Below are 27,857 nucleotides of genomic sequence, written 5' to 3'. Positions count from 1 at the left end.
AAATCTCCTTTGAAATCTTACTGTGTGTGATATCTGAAATTTGGGTGTTTGCTCACTAAAAGAACCTTGGAAGGAGAAGATCTCAAAATGAGCTATTTGTGGATGAAGAGTGAGTCCTGTGGGTTTTTGTTTTTTGTGTTCTTTTATAGTTAACAGAGTAGCAGCATGTAGAAGGTGGTGGAGCCTGAACACTAGGTTTAGCCATAGAAAGGCAGTTAGGTCTCCTAAGTAGACGTTTCAGTAAAGGGCTTTGTTGACGCTTTGCAATGTCTGGGGTGTGTTTGCCCCACTCCCAAACCCCTCCAGTGGCAGCAGCCACAGTGGGCAAGGGACGGCAGTGCTTTTCTGAATTGGTCAGGTTTCTGTGGGAGATGAGGCTCTAAAATCAGTCAAATTATCTCACATATTACTCAGGTTGGCTATAAATTGCATAACTTACATGATTGGGTGTTGTCACATACTTTCTTTTCTTTGTTTCTCTGTGGCCCTCACTGCTTCCATTTCTAGCCAGCACCACCTCACAACTTGCCCATCTGAGCCTCTGTTACTCATTTGTTTGGTTGGAAAACCTCTACAGCCCATTTGTAGACTGATGGCTGAAGAGGGGCAGTGACCAAGGATTGTGTTCATCTGATGAACAGACGCCAGTGATGCTGTTCAGCACCCTGCACCACCCGGGATGACCCCAGTGTCCACAGTGCTGAGGGTCAGACACATTCAGCCTGGGTCTAGCACTGTGCTCTTAGGTAGAGGGATGTGGCCTGGCGTGGGGCTGAATGAGGTTTGGTTTTCCCTCTTGTGTGTGTATGGCAGTTATTTGTGTGGACTTCAGCACCACTGCAGTTCAAATTCAGCCACCTTGCCTCCTCCGTGGTGTTTTCTAAGAGTCTCCAAGGTGTGATGCCTACGTGTAATACCTTACCGGGGAGCCCTCCTCAGCTTCCTTACCTTTCTGCTGGGTGTATTTGTTCTGCTTCTGTACAAATAAAGTACTGGCCAGGTGTAGTGGATTGTGCCTGTAGTCCCAACACTTTGGGAGGTCAAGGCAGCCGATTGCTTGAGCCCAGGAGCTGGAGACCAGCCTAGGCAACATGGGGGAAACCCTGTCTCTACAAAAATTACAAAAATCGGGGGCATCAGAGCACGGCTTGTAGTCCCAGCTACTCGGGATGCTGAGGTGGGAGGATTGCTTGAGCCCAGGAGGTCAAGTCTGCAGTGAGCCGTAATTGTGCCGCTCCAGCCTGGGCAACTGAACGAGACCCTGTCTCAAAAAAAAAAAAATTAATAAAAATGAAGTACTTTACACTACCGGGTAATAGACTTAGGAAACTGATTGTCTCACTCAGTGTGGGGAGAAGTTAATGGGTGGACTTCTCACTCAGACTGTTGTAATCATCTCCTAATTTACCTGACAAGCCTCCGAAGAGGAGGTCCCAGGAGTTACTTAGTGGCTCTTCATCCTCCAATTCATGGTACATGGGACTGCCACGTTGCTCTGCTAACATATACACTTTACTTAGTTATTTATTTATTTGACAAGGTTTTACTCTGTTACCCAGGCGGAGTGCAGTGGCGCAATCTTGGCTCACTGCAACTTTCATCTCCTTGGTTCAAGTGATTGTCCTGCCTTAGCCTCCCAAGTAGCTGGGATTACAGGTGTGCGCCACCACACCAGGCTTTTTTTTTGAGATGGAGTCTCACTCTGTCGCCCAGGCTGGCGTGCAGTGGTGCGATCTCAGCTCACTGCAACCTCCGACCCCCGGGGCTCAAGTGATTCTCTTGCCTCAGCCTCCCGAGTAGCTGGGATTACAGGCGTGAGCCACTGCGCCCGGCCTCCCTTGAGGTTTAAAGAGTACAGGCCAGTTATCCTGTAGGACATCCCTCACTTTGGGTCTGGTGGCTGCCTCATGGGGGGATTCAGGTTTTGCATTTTGAGCTGAATACCCCAGAGATGTGTCCTGGGGCTTCTCTGGTGAATGCTTCCAGTGCTGTCTGTGTTGCTTGAAGGGTCCAGTTTGAGCTCTAACTGGAGCCTCAGCACCAGCTCTGTTTTAGCCACAGATTGAAGCCTCCTTCAGGGTTGCTTCCAGCTCTGACCTGTGTCTTCCTTACATCCTCTCTTGCCCCTCCATCACTTCTCCCCCACCACCAACCCCCAACCCCCTGAGGATATAAAATCTCTGAGATGTGTCTGTTCTCAAGGCTGCTTGCCAATCCTGCTTCCCTTGAGGGATGCCTTTCAATAAGCAGTTACTGAGTTCCTGCTGGGTTTTTATTATTATTATTATTATTATTTTTGAGACAGTACACAGGGTCTTGCTCTGTCACTCAGGCTGGAGTGCAGCGGTGGGATCATAACTTGCTGTAGCCTTGACCTCTGAGGCTCAGTGATCCTCCTGCCTCAGCTACAGATGTGCACCACCATGTCCAGTTAATTTTTAAAAAATTTTTTTGTGTGTGTGGAGATGAGGACTCTTTATGTTGCCCAGACTGGGCTCCAAGTCCTGGCTTCTAACAGTCTCCCTGCCTTAGCCTCCCACAATATTGGGATTATGGGCATGAGCCACTGTGCGCAGCTGTGCTGGGTTTTGTTCTGAGACACAAAGATTGGGAAGTCAGTTCCCTTTTTTTTTTTTTTTTTTGTGAGACAGAGTCTCGCTCTGTCGCCCAGGCTGGAGTGCAAGTGGCAGCATCTCGGCTTACTGCAACCTCTGCCTCCCGGGTTCAAGGGATTCTCTTGTCTCAGCCTCCCAAGTAGCTGGGACTACAGGCTCGTGCCACCATGCCCAGCTAATTTTTGTATTTTTAGTAGACATGGAGTTTAGCCATGTTGGTCAGGCGGGTCTCGAACTCCTGACCTCAAGCGATCTGTCCGGCTCGGCCTCCCAAAGTGTCAGTTCCCATTTTTGATGAGCGTGTAGTGTGTTACAGCTTACTGCAAAGTGGAGGGGCAGAGCAGTAGGTGAGGCTTTTGGGGTGGATTTAGAGCTGAGCTGCAGTCTGGTCGGTTTGTGGGGACTCTTCCTCCCTCTTTTTTTTTGAGACAGAGTCTTGCTCTGTTGCCCACAGGCTGGTTTGTGGGGACTCTTCCTCCCTCTTTTTTTTTTTTTTTGTTGGAGATGGAGTCTTGCTCTGTTGCCCAGGCTGGAGTGCAGTGGCGTGATCTCGGCTCGCTGCAAGCTCCGCCTCCAAGGTTGACACCGTTCTCCTGCCTCAGCCTCCCAGGTAGCTGGGACTACAGGCGCCCACCACCACGACTGGCTAATTTTTTTTTGTTTGTTTGTTTTTATTTATTTATTTTTTGACTAATTTTTTCAACTTTTATTTTAGATTCAGGGTTGCATGTGCAGGTTTATTTCCTGGTTATATTGCATGATGCTCAAGTTTGGGTATGAGTAATCCCATCACCCAGGTACTAAGCATAGTACCCAACAGTCAGTTTTCCAACTCTTGCCACCCTCTATCATGCCCCTGTCTAATAGTCCCCATTGTCTATTTTTGCCATCTTTATGTCCACAAGTCCCTGATGTTTAGCTCCCACTTATAAATGAGAACATGTGGTATTCAGTTTTTTGTTGCTGTGTTAATTCACTTAGGATAATGGCTTCCAGCTGCATCCATGTTGCTGCAAAGGACATGCTTTCATTCCTTTTTATGGTTGCTATTTTTTACTTCTTCTTTGTTTACTTTTTTTTTATTATACTTTAAGTTCTAGGGTACATGTGCACAACGTGCAGGTTTGTTACATATGTATACATGTGCCATGTTGGTGTGCTGTACCTATTAACTGGTCATTTACATTTACATTAAGTATATCTCCTAATGCTTTCCGTCCCCTCTCCCCCCACCCCACAACAAAAACTGAAAATGGATCCCTTCCTTACACCTTTTTTGTATTTTTAGTAGAGAACAGGGGTTTACCGTGTTGGCAAGGATGGTCGATCTCGATCTCCTGACCTCCTGATTTGCCCGCCTCTCGGCCTCCCAAAGTGCTGGGATTACAGGCGTGAGCCACCGCGCCCGGCCTGCCTCCCTCTTCTTTCCCACCCCTCTCCCCCACCCCACTTCTCCTTCCTCTCCCCTTTTCTCTCCTTTAGTTTACCCTGCTCCCCCTTTCTTTACATTTTCTTTCCTCCCCCACTCCTGCCAATCAGTCTCCGTTGGCGTCTCATCCCTGAGGGCAGATTCATGGCACCTTTATGTCTCCAAATGCCTTTAGGCCACGATACATAGTTCACATTCCCTTTATTGAATTTTTTTGTTTGTTTGAAGAGACAGGATCTCCCTCTGTTGCCCAGGCTGCTCTCAAAGTGCTGGGATTACAGGCTCACATGAGCCACCACGCCCAGCCCTTTGTTGAATCTTTCCATCTAAACAGTTTAACTATTTATGTCCTAGGAAGTTAGGGTAGCCATTTGAAAACTAATCCCCGTCGGGGCGTGGTGGCTCACGCCTGTAAGCCCAGCACTTTCGGAGGCTCAGGCGGGTGGATCACTTGAGGTCAGGAATTCGAGACCAGCCTGGCCAACATTGTGAAACCCTGTCTCTACTAATAATATAAAAATTAGCCGGGCTTTGTGGTGCATGCCTCTAATCCTGGCTACTTGGGAGGCTGAGACAGGAGAATTGATTGAACCTGAGAGGTGGAGGTTGCAGTGAGCTGAGATCGCGCTATTGCATTCCAGCCTGGGCAACAAGTGAAACTCTGCCTCCAAAAAAAAAAAAAAGAAAATAAATACCCATAAATTGAAGGAAACTGTATTTTATTTTTAAATAGCCACAATTACTAATGGGTTGTACAGCTTCTCAAACTTCAGAATCAGATTGGACTCCGTCCCACCCCACCCCTTGTTTCCTGTTCCATGTTGATTTCATGCAGAGCTTGCTTTTTTATCACAGCAGCCACTGCAAACAGGGCTTTATTAGGATGTGACGTCATCGGGAAGGGTGTAGCTCCATCTGCTGTTGGAGCACGAACCCCCTCGAGCTGTGGCTCCCTTGGTGTCCAGCAGCTGATGTTCTGCTGTGCTTCCCTTGGCTTTAAAATGTCTTTCGGTGTCCTCTGAGATGGCTGCAGTGTCCCTGGCATCTTGTTTGTTTTGGGAGCTTAGGCTTTCATGGCCCACAGTCTGGGCTGGACTCATCACTGTGGTCTGGTGAGTGGGGGTAGTATGTTCCCATGAGAAGGGGACCCACCCTCTGGAAGTACCTGGACAAGGGTGGAAGGAGGGATCTGTCCCTTTTTAAGAATCAAAATTAAGTCTTCGGGGTGCTGCCTGTCACCAGAGGGGAGGCCATAGGATGCCCAGGAAGAACCCAGGGATGAGGGACCACAAAGGGGCCTCTCCAACATGCAGAATATGGCTTCTATGGTACAAGTGGAATTTGTCATTGAAAAAAAATAAAATAGTTAAAAACGGACTTTTAGAAGACAGTCTGTGTTTTTCTTGACAGATGCGACAGATGAACTGAAAACAAATGACTTGTCAGAATAACAAGTGACTGCCTTTATTGGATGTTCCATGATTCTGGCCATGGCCTTCTCTCCTGTTTTTGACATAGTAGGCAGATAAGGCAGTGGGGATATTCATGAATGCTTTTAAAGAAAAGAAAAAACACCAGTGACTGTGCAGTTGTGTTTTTATTTTGTGTGTTTTGGGGACTGTAATTGTTCTGGATTCTCCATTATGGATCCATGTGTGCTGCTTTGTGGCATGTCCTCAGCTAGTGCAGTGCCAGAGGGAAGAATTGCAGTAGCCCCTGTACCCGTGGCCTTGTCTTTTGAGGTATGGCACCATAAAATATCACGGTACAGTACGAGAGAGACCACATTCCCATAACTTTTATTACGGTATGTTGTTATGGTGGTTCTGCTTGATTATTAGTTATTATTGTTAATTTCTTACTGTGCCTAATTTATAAATAAAACTTTGTTACAGGATTAAGTTCCTATCATTTGTATAGGAAAAAATACAGCATAAAGGAAAAAATGTAGTCTATATAAAGTGTGGTACTATCCACAGTTTATCTGGCATCCCCTGGGGGTCTTGGAGCATGTCCTTCTCAGATATGGGGGTACTGCTATAAGTGCACATGTAGAGAAGTTTGTTCCCATGTTAAAGATATCGTCATTGCTTGGCCTACCCATGTTCCCTTCTCAGGTACTCCACCCATTGTCCCTTTGGCAAGGGCAGCTGCCCACAGGACTTGCTGTATCCTCCCCAGTTCCACAGTGTACCAGCCACCTGGCCTGCAGACAGTGAGGGAGTGAGTTGGTGCAGAGGAGACTCTGGAGACAGAGACATGGCTGACATTTGATGATTGCTGTGATTTAGAATCCTAGGCTGCGTTGAACCCTGTACAAGATGACAGTGATTGGTTAATAGAGAGATTCACAGAGGAGCAGAGAAAGCACACTGGAAGGAGAGAGAGAGGAGCCAGCCAGCCCCAAGAGCCATCCGAGACTGGGTTCTTGGTTCCTCTTTCCACTTTCTCGTTTCCAGTTTAGTTTCCTTGGGACCTCTCATATTCCTCCTCTCCCCACTTCCCAGTGAGAACCTTGGCTAGACTGGGTAGACTTTTGAAGTGGGGGTAAAGTGAAGTCAGGAGTAGTTTTAATTTTCCATTTCTAGAATTAATGATTTCCTAAAAGATGTAGTTAATACCAAATTTCCCATTAAGGCTTCTCATTAATCAGCAGGATTTTGAGACAGGTGATTGGACAGTGAATTTAATTACCTGGTGAAAATACCTGAAGTGATTAAAATCAGAGTATGCTCTCCATATACCTGGGCTCTCCTGAATGTCTTTACGGTATTACTGTTTTGTAGGATACTTCCCTCAGAAGAGTGAACAGTACAAGAGCCTTTTTCTTGGGCCTTCTGAATTAATAATATTTTTTGTTTTAAATGAAATATCAACTGTTTTCAGAAATTACATTCTTGGTTGTCCCAACATATCACCAAACTGTTAATTGCTACATTAGGTGGGATTGTGGAGGGGGAGAGAGGAACATTAAGAAATTCTAGGCCAGGCGCAGTGGCTCATGCCTGTAATCCCAGCACTTTGGGAGGCCAAGGCGGGCGGATCACAAGGTGAAGAGATGGAGACTATCCTGGCCAACATGGTGAAACCCTGTCTCTACTGAAAATACAAAAGTTAGCTGGGCGTCGTAGCGCGTGCCTGTAGTCCCAGCTACTCGGGAGGCTGAGGCAGGAGAATCACCTGAACCCAGGAGGTGGAGGTTGCAGTGAGCTGAGATCAGGCCACTGCACTCCAGCCTGGCGACAGAGCGAGACTCTGTCTCAAAAAAAGAAAGAAAGAAATTCCGGGCCAGTGCAGTGGCTTATGCCTGTTATCCCAGCACTTCAGGAGATCAAGGTGGGAGGATCACTTGAGCCCAGGAGTTGGAGATCTGCCTGGGCAACATAGCGAGACCCCATCTCTAATTTAAAAAAAGAAAGCCCTATTCAGGAGGTTGTGGCAGGAGGATCACTTGAGGCTGAGAGTTTGAAAACAGCCTGGGCAATGTAGCGAGACCAGCCCATCTCTGAAAATATAAAAGTTAGCCAGGTGTGATGGCACATGCCTTTAGTCCTGGCTGCTCAGGAGACTGAGATGGGAGGATACTTGAGCCCAGGAATTTGAGGCTGCAGTGAGCTATGATGGTGCCACTGCACTCTAGCCTGGGTCACAGAGCAAGATCGCCATCTCTTAAAGAAGAAGAAGAAAGTCCATTGATTAAAAAAATTTGGGAGGCTGCTTTACGCCATGAGTCCTGAGAACACAGTGGTGAAAAGGTAGAGGGCCCTGCCCTGAGCTCCCTGCTTATCACCTTCCCCAGATCAGTGCTGTCAACTTCACTCTTAGGTTAAGAAGGTCATAGCATCTAGTTCTGTAGACACTATTGCCTCCTCCTCTTTGAAATAGCCAAAGAAGCAAACACCAGGTGTCTCTCTTTCCCCAGGTTACTCTGATGTACTTTCCTCACTGGAAAACAGTGACTTAGTGTTTTTTCCTTTTATGGGAGTTTTTTTTTGTTTTTTTTTTGAGACGGAGTCTCGCTGTCACCCAGGCTGGAGTGCAGTGGCGCGATCTCGGCTCACTGCAGGCTCCGCCCCCCGGGGTTCATGCCAGCCATTCTCCCGCCTCAGCCTCCCGAGTAGCTGGGACTACAGGCGCCTGCCACCTCGCCCTGCTAATTTTTTGTATTTTTAGTAGAGATGGGGTTTCACTGTGTTAGCCAGGATGGTCTTGATCTCCTGACCTTGTGATCCGCCCGCCTCGGCCTCCCAAAGTGCTGGGATTACAGGCGTGAGCCACCGCGCCCGGCCGGGAGTTATTGTTTTGCTTGCTTTTTAAGTCATTGCTGGTTAACTTGGATGGAATTTGGGTTCTTTTTTCTTCTTTTCTTTTCTTTTTTTTTTTTTTTGACACAGTGTCTTGCTGTGTCACCCAGGCTGGAGTGCAGTGGGGGCGATCTCAGCTCACTGCAGCTTCCACCTCCCCGGTTCAAGTGATTCTCTTGCCTCAGCCTCCCAAGTAACTGGGATTACAGGTATCCACCACCACACTCAGCTGTTTTTTTTTTTTTTGAGATACGGTCTTGCTCTGTTGCCCAGGCTGGAGTGCAGTGGAGCTATCTCGGCCCACTGTAACCTTTGCCTCCAGGGTTCAAGCGATTCTCCTGCCTCAGCCTCCCAAGTAGCTGGGATTACAGGTGACTGCCACTGCGCCTGGCTAATTTTTGTATTTTTAGTAGAGACGGGGTTTCACCATCTTGGCCAGGCTGGTCTTGAACTCCTGACCTCGTGATCCACCTGCCTTGGACTCCCAAAGTGCTGGGATTACAGGCGTGAGCCACCACGCCCGGATGTATTTTTAGTAGAGATGGGGTTTCACCATGTTGGCCAGGCTGATCTTGAACTCCTGGCTTCAGGTGATCCATCCACCTCGGCTTCCCAAAGTGCGGGGATTACGGGTGTGAGCCACTGCACTTTTTAATTTTTTAAAGACATGACGTCTTACTATATTATCCAGTCTGGCCTCCAACTCCTGGGCTTAAGCAATCCTCCTTCCTCAGCCTCGCTAGTAGGTGGGATTACAGGCATGAGCCAATGCGCCCAGCTTAAAAACTTACTTAGGAAGGAATGTCTGGGACTAACAGGAGATGTATCTGTCTTCCTTAAAACAGGTTTTGTAGTGAGTCCCTCTTGCTGTGTATCTGCTGCTTCATTGTGGTCCCCTTCCTCTACCTTTTTTTTATGACTGAGCTTTTTTGTACTGTCAGAGTTTAATTTAAGAGAAGGATAGCAGTTGGACTGAACATTCCAGGATGGAGACAATAAAGTTAATTTGTCTCTCACATTCAGAGGTAGAAGTGGCAGGCTTTGTCAGTGTTTCAGCAGGTAAGAAATCTTGACTAGTAGGAATAAGTCAGAATCTCAGGGACTCTTTATACCTGTTCACCCTGTCCTTGGGACCCCGCTCAGATTTCTCCACACCAGAGTGGCCTTCTCTGGCCACCTTCTAAGAGAGACCTCCCCATCTCACCTGTTTCCCCTTCTTACGTAGTTTTATGTTTCCTTAGCAATGGATAGCAGTTGATGTATCAAAATAAAGACTTGCACTGTTCGCTTAATGCCTTCCTCGACCAACAAGCAAGTTCTAGAACAGCAAGTGCTGTGTCTTGTTTCCTACGGACTCCCCTGAGCTGTGGTGCCTGGCACATGATTGGAGATGGGCAGGTCGTTGTTGAGTGAGTGAATGAAGCCATACAAATACGAACCCAGATATTGAGGCCACTTTATTGTTAAATGTTTTATCAACAATTGACACTTCTATCCTATTTTCATGTTGTTATATAATATGACTATATATGTACTCAGACTCCCAAGTAAATATTTGTGCTTACTTTACTCTGACCTAAACTGGTGCCTGGCACCAGAGTAGGCTCACAAAATGCTTTTCTCACAGTGACCGCCTAACAAACCTAGACATTAGCTGAGGTTTATAGAGCACTGTGTCATTCTAAATAGCCTGAAGACATAGTTTCTATTATTCCTGTTTCCAGTTCTCTTTCTAAATCACAGATGATTTAGAATATGGGTTATAAAAACATTTCCAACTCAGGGTACTTTCTATATTTTGTGGGTTTTGCAGGAAATAAGCTAAGTTTTGGAAGCATGTCTTTTTTCTTGCTTGGTGGGGAGATATTTTACCTTTAAAAATTGGCTCTCATTCTTTGAGGCAAAAATATGTTCATGTTTCTAGGATTTCTCTTTAAGAGACTAGTGGTCAGAGTTCGGCAGAGACCACCAAAGTTGTCTGGGGTGTTCGTGCCCATGTGTTTGGCCCTTTCTAGGCTTACTTGACTCCCTGGGGAGGAGTACCTGGGAATACAGTCAGTAAGAGCTTTAAATTAGGCCAGGCTAAAAAGTTTGATTTTTTCCGTAGGAGGAGTATTTGAAGACTTCTGAGCGGAGGAGTCGCATGTCAGAGCTGTCCTTCAGAAAGATAAATCAGGCAGTGCTGTTAAGATGGATTGAAGTGGAAAAGAGGTGGGATAGAGACACAGATTAGTAACGGGCCAGGCAAAGATGGTAAGCCATCAAGAGGCTGAAGCAGTGGGAGTGGAGCACAGGGGCAGGAGGGGAAAGGGATGGAAGGGAGGCTTGAGTCTGTGCTGCAGGAGAGCTGGGAGGGACTGCCAGCAGGTTTGGAAAGGAAAGGGGTGCTGAGGCTTGCTTTACACTGGTGGAATCTGAAAGGATTGAACCCTCAGAGCGCTGCAGTGCGTAGAGCTTTCTAGGAACTGGGGTACATTCAGGGAAAGGGAATAAGGAGTGGATCCTCGACTTGAGAGAAGAACCACAAAAGAACCAGTTGAGGGTTCAGAAGGGGGCGTGACTGGGTGTGGCAGATGTGGAGCTGGGTTGGTGAGAGCAGGATGAGGGGCTGTTGCTGGCTCCTGAGTGTAGGGTAGGCCCGTAAGTTGCACTCCACTCAGGGGCTGAGAACCTGTGTGCATAGCAAGGCACACAAGACATTCACTTTTTTTTTTTTTTCTTAAGAGACAGAGTCTCACTGTTGCCCAGGCTGACATACAGTGGCTCGCTGCTGCCTTCAACTCCTGGGCTCAACCAGTCCTCCTGTCTTAGCCTCTGGAGTAGCTAGGACTACAGGTATGCACCACCATGCCAATTTTTTTAAAAAATATTTTGAGGCCGGGCGCCGTGGCTCGAGCCTGTAATCCTAGCACTTTGGGAGACTGAGGCGGGCGGGTCGCGAGGTCAGGAGATCGAGACCATCCTGGCTAACATCGTGAAACACCGTCTCTACTAAAAATACAAAAAAAATTAGCCAGGCGTGGTGGCGGGCGTCTATAGTCCCAGCTACTTGGGAGGCTGAGGCAGGAGAATGGTGTGAACCCGGGAGGCGGAGCTTGCAGTGAGCCGAGATGGCGCCACTGCATTCCAGCCTGGGCGACAGAGCAAGATGCCGTCTCAAAAAAAATTTGAGAGGCAGGATCTTGCTATGTTGCCTAGGCTGGTCTGAAACTCCTGGCCTCAAGTGATCGCCCCCTGGTATTACAGGCGTGAGCCACCACGCCTGGCTCCTAACGTTTGGCATCTCTTTTTATATATTCAACCACAATATGTTGATTTTTTTTTTTCCAGTAAAGTGAATGTCTCTTTATTTATTTTTTTTGAGACGGAGTTTCGCTCTTGTTGCCCAGGCTGGAGTGCAATGGCGCTATCTTGGCTCACCGCAATCTCTGCCTCCTGGGTTCAAGCATTTCTCCTGCCTCAGCCTCCCGAGTAGCTGGGATTACAAGCATGCGCTACCATGCCCGGCTGATTTCGTATTTTTAGTAGACATGGGGTTTCTCCGTGTTGGTCAGGCTGGTCTCAAACTCCTGACCTCAAGTGATCCACCCACCTCAGCCTCCCAAAGTGCTGGGATTATAGGCGTGAGCCGCTGTGCCCGGCCGAATGCCTGTTTAACAGACATTCAGTCTACTGCCAAAATAAAGTAAAGGCTTGTCCTCATGGTAGCCTGCAAGACTGTTTGCATCTTCATGTGAAGTTGTATGGCTTGCTTTTCTGCATTTGTTCTGTCCTCCTCTAGGTGTGAGTAGTGAGGTTTCCTCTTTGGCCAATATTTTTTTAAATTAAATTTAATTAATTAGTTAATTTTTGAGACACAGTCTTGCTGTGTCGCCCAGGCTGGAGTGCAGTGGTATCCCAGGTTCAAGCGATTCTCCTGCCTCAGCCTCCTGAGTAGCTGGGATTACAGGTGTGTGCCACCATGCCCTGCTAATTTTTTTTTTTTTTTTTCTTTGAGATGGAGTTTTACTCTTGTTGCCCAGGCTGGAGTGCAATGGTGCAATCTCGGCTCACTGCAACCTCCGCCTCCCGGGTTCAAGCGATTCTCCTGCCTCAGCCTCCCGAGTAGCTGGAATTACAGGCATGCACCACCACGCCTGGCTAATTTTGTATTTTTAGTAGAGATATGGTTTCTCCATGTTGGTCAGGCTGGTCTCAAACTCCCGACCTCAGGTGATCCACACGTCTCGGCCTCCCAAAGTGCTGGGAATTGCAGGCATGAGCCTCCGCGCCTGGCGCCTTGCTAATTTTTGTATTTTTAGTAGAGACGGGGTTTCACCATCTTGGTCAGGCTGGTCTCAAACTCCTGACCTTGTGATCCGCCCGCCTTGGCCTCCCAAAGTGCTGGGATTACAGGCGTAAGCCACCGCGCCTGGCCGGCCAGTATGTTTTTGAGAAAAATACATGGTGCCACGAAGTTGAAGGCAGCCTTCCCCTGAGGATTATAAAATCCAAACCCAACTGAAGACTAGATTGAATTAACCCCTCATCCCCACACAGTAGTGGCTCAGACAAAGAGGTGTACCCAATTCTGGTTTTATTGAATATCATCTGATAATTCAATAAAAAATTATGAGATACACAAAAAAGCGATTTCTTGTTAAGAGAGAAATAAATGGAAGCCAACTTAGAGATGACCCAGATATTGGAACTGCCAGAGACTTTAAATGACTGTGATGGATGTGGTAAAAGATTGAGTGAGAAAGGTATACAGCATGCATTATATGTGAAAAGATCGAGAATTTCAGGAGGCAGAAACTCTAGAAAAAGTTAAATTGAAATGTTAGAGATTCTTTAAAAACATTATAGATGAATAATTTTCTCAGTGAGTTTGTCAGCAGATAGGAAAGAATCAGTGAAACTGAAGATAGGTCAATAGAAATCCAAAATGAAACAAGCAGAAGAAAATAAACCAGAACAAAAATAGCATTTAGGCTGGGCGCGGTGGCTCACCCTTGTAATCCCAGCACTTTGGGGAGGCCGAGGTGGGCAGATCACCTGAGGTCGGGAGTTCGAGACCAGCCTGACCAACATGGAGAAACCCCGTCTCTACTAAAAATAAAAAAAATTAGCAGGGTGTGATGGCACATGCCTGGAATCCCAGCTACTCGAGAGGTTGAGGCAGGAGAATCGCTTGAACCTGGGAGGCGGAGGTTGTGGTGAGCCAAGATCCCGCCATTGCACTCCAGCCTGGGCAACAAGAGAGAAACTCCATCTGGAAAAAAAAAAAAAATTAGCTGGGTGTGGTGGCGGGCACCTGTAATCCCAGCTACTCAGGCTGAGGCAGGACAATCACTTGAACCTGGGAGGCGGAGATTGCAGTGAGCTGAGATTGTGCCATTGTACTTCAGCCTATGTACAGAGCGAGACTCCATCTCAAACAAAAAAAAAGTGTTGAGTAGTTGTGAGACTATAGCAAACTGTCAAATATACAGATAATTGGAGCCCTAGGAAGAAAACGGGGCAGAAGAAATATTCAAAGAGCTAATGGTTGAGAATTTTTTCATTAGTAAAAGACAACAAACCAGAGGTCTGTGAAGTTCAGAGGACTCCAAGCACCATAAATATAAACAAAAAACCCTCAACACCTAGGCACATTATAGTCAAACTGCTGAAAGTCAAAGAGAAAGTTTTGAATGTAGCCAGAAAAAAAGTATTTCATACAGGCCAGGCATGGTGGGTCATACCTGTAATCCCAGCACTTTGGGAGACTGAGTGGCAGACTCACTTGAGCCCAGGAGTTTGAGAGCAGCCTGGGCAACATAGCGAGACTTCATCTCTACAAAAAAAAAATTATCCAGGTGCTCTGGCGGTGCCTGTGGTCTCAGCTACTCAGGAGACTGAAGTGGGAGGATCGCTTGAGCCTGGGAGGTTGAGGCTGCAGTGAGCCAAGATTGTGCCACTGCACTGTAGCCTGGGTGATAGAATGAGACCTAGTCCCACAAAAGACTTCCTCAGACAAAAGTTGTGGGGTTTGTTGCCAGTAGATCTGCCCTGTGAGATGGAGGAAGTTCTTCAGGCAGAAGTGTATCCCATCACACTGCAGTTATCTTCTGGTGCTATATCTAGTTTAATATAAATCAGACCAGGCAAATGAAGAGATATATACAGCAAGGCCTAGCAGAGTCTCAAGCACACATCCTCCAAGCCCTCTCCCCATGGAGTCTCTCCTGACAAATCGGGGTCAATGAGCTTCTAACCAGGAAGCTCCCCTGAGCCTTGGTGTTGAGAGTTTTTATTGGGGCTTTGTTACTTGGGCACAATTGATAGAGCACAATCTCTAGCCCCTCTCCCACCCCAGTCAGAATGGTTTCAAACCCCAACCGTCTAATGTCATGGTTTGTCTTTCTGGTGACCAGCCTCTATCTTGAGTCAGCTCATCTCAGCAAAAACATGGAGGCTCATGAATAACAAAGACATGCCTATCACTCCGGAACATCCAATAGTTTTTGAAGCTCCTTCTGAGGAACTGGGAACAAAGACCCAGAAGGAGTCTTCAAAAAACATGTAGAAGTAAAATGCTAGACAGTTGTGTTACAAAGAGTGAAAGGGAAGGAATATCGTGACCCTTAACACAGGGATTAGGAGTGCTAACCTGCTGTGCAGTCAAAATTCTTCTATCACTTGACTCCCAAAACATGAACTACTAATAGCCTGCTATTGACTGGAAGCCTTACCGATAGCAGTCAAAAGACAGTTTTTATGTTTTATATATTATATATTTTTGTGATCAAGCTAGAGAAAATATTAAGAAAATCATAAGGGAGAGAAAAATGTATTTACTATTTAATGAGTGGAAGTGGATCCCTCATAAAGGTCTTCCTTCTCATTTTCAGGTTGAGGCTGAGGAGGAGAAAGAGATGGGATTGGTCTTGCTGTCTTGGATGGAGGTGGTGGAAGGGGAGGTAGGAGAGACAGGCATACTTGGTGGAACTTTACTGAAATACATAATTTCTGACTTCTTTCTTTTTCGTTTTATTTTTTCTTTTTCTTTTTTTTTTTTTTTTTGCCTGGGCTGGAGTGCAATGGCTCAGTCTTGGCTCACTGCAGCCTCCGCCTCCTGGGTTCAAGCGGTTTTCCTGCTTCAGCCTCCCAAGTAGCTGGGATTACAGGCGCCCGCCACCATGCCCGGCTAATTTTTTTTATTTTTAGTAGAGACAGAGTTTCACTGTGTTGGCCAGGGTGGTCTGGAACACCTGATCTCGTGGTCTGCCCGCTTTGGCCTCCCAAAGTGCTGGGAGTACAGGCCTGAGCCACCGCACCCGGCCTGCTTTTTCATTTCTCTAAAAAAGTTTCTGTATGATAGCAACCTTCTGTTGTATGCTTTAGTTTTAGTTCCTGTGCCATAAAAGCTCTGTGTCCTAAAGAAGTCAAGTGCAGTCTTGGGGAATGGGGACCTTCTGCCAGATTGCCCAGTGTCCACGTGTTTTTGGCACTGCTTCTTTCTCATCGTTTGGCACCACGTTGGAAGTACTGACATCTGTCAAGGTGTGTTCTGTTAATTCCTCTGGTGTGGTGTCTAATAGCTCTTGAATTTCTCTAAGATCCACATGTTGAAGTCCTTACCCACCCCCCTACCCTTTTAAAAGCATATGCACAGTCTTTTCATGATTTCCTCGTCTGGCTCTCGTAAATCCTGTGAGGTCAGGCGCAGCATCTGGACGTCGTCCTCTCCAGCAGGAGTTGATTGTTTCAGGCTCATGGCCTTCACAGCTTTTTCTGTAACAACCTTGGCATCTTCAGCAGGATAATCCTTCCAGACTTAAACAATGTTCTGTCTATTGGGATTCTCTTCCATAGCATTGACAATTCTTTCCATAGAGTACTGTGTGTTATGAGCCTTAAAGGTCCTTATGACCCCCTAATCTAGAGGCTGAAGGAGAGGTGCTGTGTTTGGGGGTAAGTAGACCACTTCATTGCCGTCAGTATTGAACTCATGGGGTTCTGAGTGGCCAGGGGCCTTGTCCAATATCTAAAGAACTTTAAAAGGCAATCCCTTACTGGCAAAGTGTACTTCCTGACTGCAGACAAAGAACATCGATGGAACCAGTCCAGAAAAAGGGATTTTGTTGTCCCAGTCTTGTTCCACAACCAAGAGACTGGCAACTGGTGTTTATCTCTTCCCCTTCAAGGCTCAGGGGTTAGCAGCTTTGTAGATAAGAGCAGTCCTGATCATAAACCCGGCTGCATTTGCACAAAGCAGTAGAGTTGGCCTCTCCCTGCCTGCCTTCAGTGCTGGGGCTCACTTTTCTTCCTTACTAATAAGTGTCCTTTGTGGCAGTTTTTTCCAGAATAGGGCACTTTTGTCTGCATTAAAAACCTATTCAGGAAGATTTTCTTTTCCTCAATGATTTTCTTCATGGCATCTGGGAACCCTGGTGCCTCTTGGTTGGCAGAAACTGCTTCTCCTGTTATCTTAACATTTTTTAAGCCAACCCTCTTTCTAAACTGATCAAGCCACCCTTTTGCTGGCATTAAATTCTCTAGCTTTAAGTCCTTCACTTTCAGCTAGAACCAGTGGCTCATTCCTATAATCTGAGCACTTTGGGAGGCCAAGGGAGGAGGATTGCTTGAGACCAGGAGTTGAAGACCAGCCTGGGCCACATAGTGAGACCCTCTCTCCATAAAGAAACAAAAAATTTAGTCACGTGCAGTGTGGCACATGCCTGAATCCTTGCTACTTAGGGGGCTGAGGCAAGAGGATGGCTGTGCCTAGGAGTTCAAGGTTTCAGTGAGCTGTTCAAGGCTGTCACCCACTTGGGTGACAGTGAGACTCTGATTGATTGATTGATTGATTTTGAGATGGAGTCTCACTTTGTCTCACAGCCTGGAGTGCAGTGGCATGATCTCTGCTCACTGCAACCTCCGTCTCCTGGGTTCAAGCGATCCTTCTGCCTCAGCCTCCCGAGTAGCTGGGATTACAGGTGCCAGCCACCACGCCTGGCTAATTTTTTTGTTTTTAGCAGAGATGGAGTTTCACCACGTTGGCCTGGCTGGTTTCGAACTCCTGAGCTTAGGTGATCCGCCTGCCTTGGCCTCCCAAACTGCTGAGATTACAGACATGAGCCACTGCACCCGGCTAAATCTTACTCCTTCTATGTGTATTGGCATTCCTCTGTAAAGAAGAGCTTCGCTTTTCCTCTTTTTTTTTTTAATTTATATGTTACCATGTGCTTGTGTGTTCTTTTTTTAGATCCAGTAAGGTATATTCCATTACCATTGTTCGTCATGTTGACCCTCAGATTGTCCTAAATTTGGCCAGCAGACTTCCTTCAAGCTGGTGTGTTTTTGACATGTTCTTTTTAGTTTTGGAGCCCTTCCTTTCTGCCATAGCAAGAGGGTTCCTGTGCCAGACCTTGAGGGAGTGATTTCTCAGAGGAACCCTGAAGCTCCTTTTAAAGGGAACCGTTTTTATAAAACCAAGATTTGGGCTTTGTGTGTGGAGAGGTCGTTGCTTCCAGACCTTTCAGTTGACAAGAGATAGGAGATATACGTGTGTGTGTGTGTGTGTGTGTGTGTGTGTGTGTGTGTGTGTGTGTGTATGGACTTACACACAAATGATTCTACAGCGGAATAAATGTATAGAGAATTTCCATTGTCTCCAAATTCAGATTGAACCCCAGGGGGCCATTCCTTGCTTTCAGATAGTCCGTGTTGTGCCTCCCTTCTCCAGTGTGAGCCTTGCTCCCCAAATAACCATATCTTCGCTTATTTCGCTCTGGCATACATATCCATATTAATATTTTAAGCATTATTATTATTATTTTTATTTTATTTTATTATTATTTTTTTTGAGACGGAGTCTCGCACTGTCACCCAGGCTGGAGTGCAGTGGCACGATCTCGGCTCACTGCAAGCTCCGCCTCCTGGGTTCACGCCATTCTCCTGCCTCAGCCTCCTGAGTAGCTGGGACTACAGGCGCCCGCCATCCCACCTGGCTAATTTTTTGTATTTTTAGTAGAGACGGGGTTTCACTGAGTTAGCTAGGATGGTCTCAATCTCCTGACCTCGTGATCCGCCCGCCTTGGCCTCCCAAAGTGCTGGGATTACAGGCGTGAGCCACCGCACCCGGCCTACTTTAAGCATTATTATGCCACCAATATGACGCTTAAATTTCAGAACTCTATTTGCCCTTAGAATGTACCCCCACGTTTGTACAGTTAGAGTATTCTAAATTAACGTGATGTCTTTAGACCTTTTTTTGGTTGGTTGGTTGTGTTTTACAGGTATTGTTATCTTTTTATTGATACTGAACTCTAATTTTTGTTTGAAAGAAGGCATTTCTAGTTTGTTTTTATCCTGTTTATTAGTATGATCATATATAGTTGAAGATTATGATACAGAGTTGTCATTAAGTTCAGTATTATTTCACATTCTAGTTGTTCAGTGTGTTTTTGAATTAAAGAATTATTTGGAAGGGAGTTTACTTTGTTTCTTACAAGCCCCCAGGCCTTTAGGCAAAACTCTTGGGGCTGGATGTTTTCCGGAATATAGACTTTTTCAGGGTTGAGAAAGATGCAGTGAGTATGTTACATGTGCACCACACTTACGGCAAGGCTTTAATCAGATACCCCAAAGTTTGTAGTAAACATAAGACTGCTCACCCTGAATGTGAGAAAGTCTGCCTAATGCCGTGTGTCCTATTCTGGTTTGGGTATCTCAGAATTGTAGATAACCAGTGGTGCACTTATGTGTTTCCCATCTTAGGATTATGTTGATAGAGAAGAAATCATCCCCCACAAGTATACCTGTACTTGATTAGAAATATTAATGCAGCTTGTAGAGAAATTCTCTAGGTATGTCTCAAGGATTCAGTTTCTAGATTTTGAAAAATGCTGAAATAAAAGTATAAGTACTAGGATATGTGCAAAGAAGTCATATTAATATTTAATATTGCTAAATTAGCTGTATAGAGTCAGTTGATTTTATCAAGAGCCTTGAAAAAGTGCCCATCTTTTTCTTTTTTTTTTTTTTGGAGACGGAGTCTCACTCTGCCATCGAGGCTGGAGTGCAGTGATGCAATCTTGGCTCACTGCAACCTCCCTGTCTCAGGATCAATTGATTGTCCTGCCTCAGCCTCTCAAGTAGCTGGGACTACAGGTGCATGCCACCGTGCCCGGCTAATTTTTTTATTTTTTAAATTTATTTTTATTTTATTTTAATTTTTTTTTGAGATGGAGTCTTGCTCTGTCACCCAGGCTGGAGTGCAGTGACGCAATCTCAGCTCACTGCAAGCTCTGCCTCCCGAGGTCACGCCATTCTCCTGCCTCACCCTCCCAAGTAGCTGGGACTACAGGCACCCGCCACCACGCCCAGCTAATTTTTTGTATTTTTAGTAGAGACGGGGTTTCATCGAGTTAGCCAGGATGGTCTCGATCTCCTGACCTCGTGATCCGCCCGCCTCGGCCTCCCAAAGTGCTCGGATTACAGGAATGAGCCACCGCACCCGGCCAGTAATTTTTGTATTTTTAGTGGAGAGGGTTTCACCATGTTGGCCAGGCTGGTCTCGAACTCATGACCTCAGGTGATCCACCCGCCTCGGCCTCCCAAAGCACTGGGAGGTGCGAGCCCAGCTCCTGATGTTCTTTAAGGGTAGTGCTACTGGTTTAGGGTTACATTATTGTGGGACTGGTAGTCCTGTCCTTAGTGTGGGGTTCTATGAGCTGGATAGTCAGAAAAAGAGCATACATTTGGGTCATCTTGTTTTTAGCCAGAAATGGGTCCAGACAACTCTCCATGTGAATCCAGGCTAAGGTGATTTGATAGCACTTTTAGCATCCTTACTCCAATCTTGAGTCATGATTTGAGCCACAGGGCAATCTAGGCATTAAAATAGAGCAGCTGGGTGCGGTGCCTTGTGCCTGCAATCCCAGCACCGTGGAAGGCCGACCTGCAAGGATCGTTTGAGCCCAGGAGTTAAAGACCAGCCTGCGCAGTATGGCAAGACCCCATGTCTACAAATATATATATATTTTTTAATTAGCTGGGCATGGTGGCACACACCTGTGGTCCCAGCTACTCAGGAGGCTGAGGCAGGAGGATCACCTTAGCCCAGGAAGTCGAAGCTGCAGTGAGCCATGATTGTGCCACTGTACTCCAGACTGGCTGACAGAGGGTGACCCTGTCTCAAAAAAATAATTAATAATGATAAAATAGAGCAGATTATGTATAATTTTTTTTAGTAGTATTTCTCTTCCTACCTGTCCCTTGATCTGGAAAGTACTTGAAAAGATTTATATTTAGTGGTTGAGATAATTGTGACAGTTGAAGAGTTCTCAACTGGGGTCAGTATTGCCTCTCGGGATGCCAGGTGGCTGTTACAGCTGGGGAAAGGAGCACTACTGGCATGCTGCCAGATATCCTCCTGGGGACACACACACACCCCTGCCTAAAATGTTCATTGTGCTGAGGTTGAGACCCATGCTTTGAAACTTGATTTGGTGGCACTTTTCGGGTATGCTCATAGGACCCTGCCCCGGAGCGAGGCTTCGCTTCCTGAAGTCTGGGGTAGTTTGCATCATTCACTGTTTACTCCTGTGTGCCTTTTCACACCCAACTTTTTTTCTGAGGTGAAATTCACATAACATAAACCATTTTAAAGTGAATGATTCGGTGCCGTTTAGTACATTTACAATGTGTTGCAACCACCGTCTCTAGCTAATTCCATGACATTTTCATCACCTCAAAAGGAAACCCTGTACCCATTAAATAATTGTCCACTGCACACACATGTGCATGCACACGCAGACACATGCAGCCCCTGGCAACCACTGCATTCTGTCTCTTTGGATTTGTGTGTTCCGGATATTTCATGTAAATGGGGTTGTATATATGTGGCTTTTTGTGTATGGCATCTGTCACTTAGCATATTTGTGAGGTTTGTCTGTGTTCTAGCAGAGACAGGACCAGGACTTCTTTTTTTTTTTTTTTTGAGATGGAGTCTCACTCTGTCACCCCGCCCAGGCTGGAGTGCAGGGGTGCAACCTTGGCTCACTGCAAGCCCTACCTCCTGGGTTCATGGCATTCTCCTGCCTCAGCCTCCAGAGTAGCTGGGACTACAGACGCCCGCCACCATGCCCGGCTAATTTTTTGTATTTTTAGTAGAGATGGGGTTTCACCGTGTTAGCCAGGATGGTCTCAATCTGCTGACCTTGTGATCTGCCCGCCTTGGCCTCCCAGAGTGCTGGGATTACAGGCGTGAGCCACCGTGCCTGGCAATTTTTGTATTTTTAATAGAGACGAGGTGGCCAGGTTGGTCTTGAACTCCTGACCTCAGGTGATCCACCCGCCTCACCTTCCCAAAGTGCTGGGATTACAGGCGTGAGCCACCACGCTCGGCCTCCTTTATCTTTATAGCTGAATAATATTCAATTGTTTGGATAGACCACATTTTATTCATCCATTCATGCTCAGTGGGTATTTGGGCTGTCTCCACCTTCTGGCTGCTGAGTACTGCTGCTAAGAACATAATGTGTACATGCATTGAATCCCTGCTTTCAGTTCTTTTGGGAATATACCTAGGAGTAGAATTGCTGGGTTATGGGGTAATTCTGTGTTTAATTTTTTGAGGAACTGCCAAACTGTTTTCCTTCCACACTCATTTTTACTGCCGGAAAAGTACGTGCTTGCTTGTACATAAGCAGCATAATTGCAAAACGAAACTACTTTAAGTAAATGAATTAGAATTCACAGTTCAACTGGGAGATATTTCAGTTTGTTGATTCATCTACTGACTCCAGACTAGATGTGTGCATGTGAGTTTGCAGACTCACAAGACACTGAATTAATAGGCAGGTGGTGACCTGTGAAGCCTCCACAAGTGGTCTTTTCACATAGTTTAATTTGAGGGAGCGATTACAGAAGCATCTTTAAATGTTCTGAAATCAGGCCAGGCTCAGTGGCTCAGGCCTGTAATCCCAACACTTTCGGAGGCTGAAACAGGCGGATTACCTGAGGTCAGGAGTTTGAGACCAGCCTGGCCAACATAGTGAAACCCCATCTCTACTAATAAATAATAAAAGGCATGGCGTGTGCCTGTAATCCCAGCTACTCAGGAGGCTGAGGCAGGAAAATCGCTGGAACCTGGGATGCAGAGGTTGCAGTGAGCCAAGATCATGCCACTGCACTCCAGCCAGGGTGACAGAGTGAGAATCTGTCTCAAAAAATTAATAAATGTGGCCATGTGCAGTGGCTCACGCCTGTAATCCCAGCACTTTGGGAGGCCGAGGTGGGCAGATCACGAGGTCAGGAGATCGAGACCATACTGACCAATATGGTGAAAACCCGTCTCTACTAAAAATATAAAAATTGGCTGGGAGTGGTGGCATGTGCCTATAATCGCAGCTACTCAAGAGGCTGAGGCAGGAGAATCACTCGAACCAGTGAGTCGGAGGTTCCAGTGAACTGAGATGATACCACTGCACTCCAGCCTGGTGACAGAGCGAGACTGCTGTCTCAAAAATAAAAAAAATACAATAAATGTTCTGAAATCAGAAGAAATCTAGAATTGGACATATTTTCATTCCACCAGAAGTATGTCAAGAGGAGTCAGAAACCTCTCTTGTGATCTCTGTCACCATTCAAGCCACCTTCCTGGGCACCAGGGCCAGGCACTGGATGGGACCGTGTCAGCAGGAGAGGGACAGAGGGAGGGATTGGAAGTGTCCCAACATAGACTTGCCAGGACTCACAAAGTAGTTATTTAGTGGCTTCCTTGAGATTCAGATGAAATGCTCTCCACTGTCATGCCAAACAGGCAAAGTCTGGATTAAATTAATCTTCAGAATTTGTTGAATTGTATTAGTGTTGTGTCTGTGTGTGTGTGTGCGTGTGTGTTTTGAGACAGAGTCTCGCACTGTCACCCAGGCTGGAGTGCAGCGGCACGATCTCGGCTCACTGCAATCTCCGCCTCCTGTGTTCAAGCAATTCTCCTGCCTCAGCTTCCTGAGTAGCTGGGACTACAGGTGCCTGCCACTACGCTCGGCGAATTTTTTGTATTTTTAGTAGAGATGAGGTTTCACCATATTGGCCAGGCTGGTCTCGAACTCTTTACCTTGTGATCCGCCCAACTTGGTCTCCCAAAGTGCTGGGATTACAGGCAGGAGCCACGGTACCTAGCTTTTTTTTTTTTTTCTTTTCGAGACGGTGTCTTGCTCTATCACCCAGGCTGAAGTGTAGTGGCGTGATCTCCACTCACTACAACCTCCACCTTCTGGGTTCAAGTGATTCTCCTGCCTCTGCCTCCCAGGTAGCTGGGGTTACAGGTGCCTGCCATCACGCCTGGCTAATTTTTTTAATTTTTAGTAGAAACGTTTTTTTTTTTAGTTCGCTGCCAAGAACATAATGTGTTCTTAAAACACATTAAAATTAAAAACATTTAATTTTTAGTTAGCCACGTTGGCCAGACTGGTCTCGAACTCTTGACCTCAGGTTATGCGCCCACCTCAGCCTCCCAAAGTGTTGGGATTACAGATGTGAGCCACCGCGCCCAGACTGTTGTGTGTTTTTGTTTTGAGACAGATTCTTGCTCTGTCACCTAGGCTGGAATGCAGTGGAATGATCTCGGTTCACTGCAACCTCCACCTCCCGGATTTAAGCGATTCTCCTGTCTAAGCCTCCTGAGTAACCGGGATTACAGGCTTGTGACACCATGCCTGGCTAACTTTTTTTTTTTGTATTTTTAGTGGAGATGGGGTTTCACCATGTTGACCATGCTGGTCTCCAATTCCTGACCTCAGGTGATTTGCCTGCCTCAGCTTCCCAAAGTGCTGGGATTGCAGGGGTTAGCCACTGGGCCCGGCCTGCATTAGTTTTTAAATTGTTACTGTAATTTTTCTAGTGATAGGATTCTAACCTCTGTGCCCATACTTTTCAGTTTAATTCAAGGTATTTTCCCTGGGGCATTTCTAAGGATTCTTAAAGAAGTTGAGATCTGATTTCTTATTTTGTTCCCATGCTGAAAAACAAAATATGACAGTACTGCTAAATAAAGCAATTTTGGGGGAGAAATAGTAATAGGGAAGGGTCAAATTTATGTGTCGTTGCATAAAATATAGCTACTAGCAAAATAGAATATTTTATTCACAACCTGAGTGCAATACAAATACAGCCTTTTCTGTTTGTTTCAGACAAATTTACATGTATTGGAGACCAGACCAGAAGCCCTTCTGAATTAAGGTAATTTTGATATATTTGATCCTCATCAGTTTTAGAAAGACAATATATAAATTTCTTCAGAGTTTGTTTTTATAAATAGCTGGTGGGTTGGTTTTTTAAAGAGACAGTGTTTTGCCATGTTGCTCAGACTGGATTCTAACTCCTGGGGTCAAGGGGTTCTCTCACCTCAGCATCCTGAGTAGCTGAGGCTATAGACATACGCCAGCATGCCTGGTCAATACCCTGGTTTTTGTTACAGTTTTTTTCTATCTCTTTTAAGCCAAAGTTGGTTTTCAAAACAATTTGATCCTCAAAAAAAGCTTCCATTTAGTGTTGAGCAAGAAGGTTTAGGGTCCCAGTGATGAGGATTTACCTTCTGAATCAGAGTGGTACATCGCTAGTTTTTTTCGTTAGAAAGCAGGAGAGCCCTTTTTTCAAATCAGATCTTAGTTGAAATACCAATATATGGCCGGGTGCGGTGGCTGATGCCTGTAATCCCAGCACTTTGGGAGGTCAGGTTGGGTGGATCACGAGGTCAGGAGATCGAGACCATCCTGGCTAACACGGTGAAACCCTGTCTCTACTAAAAATACAAAAAATTAGCCGGGTGCGGTGGTGGGCGCCTGTAGTCCCAGCTACTCTGGAGGCTGAGTCAGGAGAATGATGTGAACCCAGGAGGCGGAGCTTGCAGTGAGCCAAGATCATACCACTGCACTCCAGCCTGTGGGACAGAGCGAGACTCCGTCTCAAAAAAAAAAAAAGAAAAGAAAAAAAAGTAAGGTGAACATGATTCAGGAAAACAAAACAAAACAAAAACCTTTTTGTTTGAATAAAGTGGGAATAATGAAGCCATGTTCGTAGTGAGTGAGTCTGGGTGAGGAGGGTACATGGTTTCTTTGTATTATTCTTGCAACTCTTTGAAGTTTGAAATAATTTTAAATTAAAAAGCAAAATTAAATTGAATAGCAATTAGGGGCTGGAACAATTGGATATTCTTTTTTTTCTTTTGAGACAGAGTCTTGCTCTGTTGCCCAGGCCGAAGTGCAGTGGTGCAATCTCAGCTCTCTGCAACCTCCCCCTCCCAGGTTCAAGCCATTCTCCTGTCTCAGCCTCCCAATTAGCTGGGATTACAGGCGCTCACCACCACACCCAGCTAATTTTTGTATTTTTAGTAGAGACGGGGTTTCACCATGTTGGTCAGGCTGGTCTCGAACTCCTGACCTCAGGTGATCCACCCGCCTTGGCCTCCCAAAGCTGTGGGATTACAGGCGTGAGCCACCACGCCTGGTTAGTCAATTGGATATTCTTACGCAAAAGGAGAACTTGACATCATGTACAGAAATTAACTCAGGCCAGGCAAGGTGGCTCACCTGTAATCCCAGCATTTTGGGAGGCCAAGGTGGGCAGATCATCAGGTCTGGAGATCGAGACCATCCTGGCCAACATGGTGAAACCCCGTCTCTACGAAAATACAAAGGAAAAGATTTAGCCACGTGTGGTGGCACGCCCCTGTAGTCCAGCTACTCAGGAGGTTGAGGCAGGGGAATCGCTTGAACCCAGGAGGCAGAGGTTGCAGTGAGCTGAGATTGCACCGTTGTGCTCCAGCCTGGTGACAGAGTGAGACTCCGTGTCAAAAAAACAAAAACAAAAACAAAAAGGCCAGGCATGGTGGCTCACGCCTGTAATCCCAGCACTTTGGGAGGCCAAGGAGGGTGGATCACGAGGTCAAGAGATCGAGACCATCCTGGCTAACACGATGAAACCCCGTCTCTACTGAAAATACAAAAAATTAGCCAGGCGTGGTGATGGGCACCTGAAGTCCCAGCTACTCAGGAGGCCAAGGCAGGAGAATGGCATGAACCCAGGAGGCGGAGCTTGCAGTGAGCCAAGATCACGCTACTGCACTCCAGCCTGGGTGACAGAGTGAGACTCCGTCTCAAAAAAAAAAAAAAAAATTAACTCAATGGATCATATACCTAAATATAAAACGTAAAATTAGAAAAAATGAGATTTTGAATTAAGCAAACAGTTTTTAGATGTGAGATCAAAGATAGAATGCGTAAAAGAAAACATTTATAAATTGAATTTGTTCAAAATTTAAAACTTCTGCTCCTTAGAAAAAACAGAGAACGAAAGACAAACCATAGTCTGGCAGAAAATATTAGCAAATGTCTTTTAGATGACTTGTATCCAGAATAGGTAAGAACTCTCAAAACTCAATTTTGGCTAGGTACTATGGCTAACACCTGTAATCCCAGCACTTTGGGAGGAGGATTGCTTGAAGCCAGTTGTTCGATACCATCCTGGGCAATAAAGTGAGACCCCTGTCTCTTCAAAAAAAAAAAAAAAAAAAAGTTAGCAGTCGGGCACGGTGGCTCACACCTGTAATCCCAGCACTTTGGGAGGCCCAGGCAGGCGGATCACCTGAGGTTGGGAGTTCGAGAACAACCTGGCCAACATGGGGAAACCCCATCTCTACTAAAAATACAAAAATTAGCTAGGTGTAGTGGCTTATGCCTATAATCCCGGCCATTTGGGAGACTGAGACACAAGAATCACTTGAACCTGGGAGGTGGAGGTTGCAGTGAGTCCAGGTTGTGCAACTGCACTCCAGCCTGGGTGATAAAGCGAGACTGTCTCCAAAAAAAAAATTTAGCCAGGCATCGTGTTGTGTGTCTGTAGTACCAGCTACTTGGGAGGCTGAGGTGGGAGAATCACTTGAGCCCGGGATGTTGAGGCTGCAGTGAGTCACGATCACACCACTGTACTCCAGCCTGGACAACAGAGCGAGACCCTGTGTCAAAAAAAAAAAAAAAAAAAAAAGCAATATTAAGAAAACAGGTAACCCAATAAAAAAGAGGCAAGTGACTTGAACAGACACTTTACCAGAAACTGTATAGACAGCAATTGAGTGCCTCAGAAGCTCAGCAGTCAGCGAGATGCAGATGGAGACTACAGCCCACGCCCCCATTAGAATGGCTGTGACACCCACCCAGCGTTGTTGGGCGTGAGGAGCCGGGACTCTCCACATTGCTTATAGGATGTTGGGAATGTGACCCAGCATAACCATTTTGAAAAGAGTTGGTTTTTTTTGTTTTTTGAGTTTGTTTTTTGTTTTTTTGAAATAGGGTCTCACTCTGTCTCTTAGACTGGAGTACAATGGTGTGATCATAGCTGACTGCATCCATGACCTCCTGGGCTCAAGTGATCCTCTGGCCTCAGCTTCCTAAGTAGTTGGGACTATAGGCACGCACTACCATGTCTGGCTTTTTTTTTTTTTTTTTTTTTCTTTTTTTAATTCTTGTAAGACGGGGT

General features: G+C 46.1%; 1 protein-coding gene across 33 annotated transcripts in view, besides 7 other annotated features; it reads left to right on the top strand.

Annotated features, from left to right (window-relative positions):
- GNB1 (G protein subunit beta 1) overlaps nt 1–27,857 on the top strand; it is a 105,802-nt gene that overhangs the window by 27,335 nt on the left and 50,610 nt on the right. For 9 of the 33 annotated variants that reach the window (NM_001282538.2, XM_047418072.1, XM_017001060.3 and 6 more), the window contains one exon: nt 24,515–24,563. The exons of 4 other annotated variants lie outside the window; for them this stretch is intronic. The gene's annotated coding sequence lies outside the window, so the exon portion shown is untranslated. Of the gene's footprint in view, nt 1–10,455; nt 10,602–11,072; nt 11,184–15,223; nt 15,876–24,514; nt 24,564–27,857 lie in introns of all 33 variants that reach the window. 20 more of the 33 variants (XM_047418073.1, XM_047418070.1, XM_047418049.1 and 17 more) reach the window with 9 other exon arrangements.
- Nucleotides 246–305: an enhancer, noted in NCBI's record as "active region_44". NCBI's record gives its function as "activates an Ori minimal core promoter by ATAC-STARR-seq in GM12878 lymphoblastoid cells {active_cell/tissue: GM12878}" and the evidence as "EXISTENCE:reporter gene assay evidence [ECO:0000049][PMID:35858748]".
- Nucleotides 326–375: an enhancer, noted in NCBI's record as "active region_43". NCBI's record gives its function as "activates an Ori minimal core promoter by ATAC-STARR-seq in GM12878 lymphoblastoid cells {active_cell/tissue: GM12878}" and the evidence as "EXISTENCE:reporter gene assay evidence [ECO:0000049][PMID:35858748]".
- Nucleotides 436–485: an enhancer, noted in NCBI's record as "active region_42". NCBI's record gives its function as "activates an Ori minimal core promoter by ATAC-STARR-seq in GM12878 lymphoblastoid cells {active_cell/tissue: GM12878}" and the evidence as "EXISTENCE:reporter gene assay evidence [ECO:0000049][PMID:35858748]".
- Nucleotides 11,170–11,982: an enhancer, noted in NCBI's record as "H3K27ac-H3K4me1 hESC enhancer chr1:1783210-1784022 (GRCh37/hg19 assembly coordinates)". NCBI's record gives its function as "activates a minimal SCP1, AML or CMV promoter by ChIP-STARR-seq in naive H9 embryonic stem cells {active_cell/tissue: H9 hESC(naive)}" and the evidence as "EXISTENCE:reporter gene assay evidence [ECO:0000049][PMID:30033119]".
- Nucleotides 12,157–12,657: an enhancer, noted in NCBI's record as "H3K4me1 hESC enhancer chr1:1782535-1783035 (GRCh37/hg19 assembly coordinates)". NCBI's record gives its function as "activates a minimal SCP1, AML or CMV promoter by ChIP-STARR-seq in naive H9 embryonic stem cells {active_cell/tissue: H9 hESC(naive)}" and the evidence as "EXISTENCE:reporter gene assay evidence [ECO:0000049][PMID:30033119]".
- Nucleotides 15,724–15,963: an enhancer, noted in NCBI's record as "active region_41". NCBI's record gives its function as "activates an Ori minimal core promoter by ATAC-STARR-seq in GM12878 lymphoblastoid cells {active_cell/tissue: GM12878}" and the evidence as "EXISTENCE:reporter gene assay evidence [ECO:0000049][PMID:35858748]".
- Nucleotides 22,172–22,231: an enhancer, noted in NCBI's record as "active region_40". NCBI's record gives its function as "activates an Ori minimal core promoter by ATAC-STARR-seq in GM12878 lymphoblastoid cells {active_cell/tissue: GM12878}" and the evidence as "EXISTENCE:reporter gene assay evidence [ECO:0000049][PMID:35858748]".

Source organism: Homo sapiens, chromosome 1 (genome assembly GCF_000001405.40).
Source record: "Homo sapiens chromosome 1, GRCh38.p14 Primary Assembly".
Classification (NCBI taxonomy): domain Eukaryota; kingdom Metazoa; phylum Chordata; class Mammalia; order Primates; family Hominidae; genus Homo; species Homo sapiens.
Note: the sequence above shows the minus strand (reverse complement) of the source record. Positions and strands in the feature narration are given on the sequence as shown.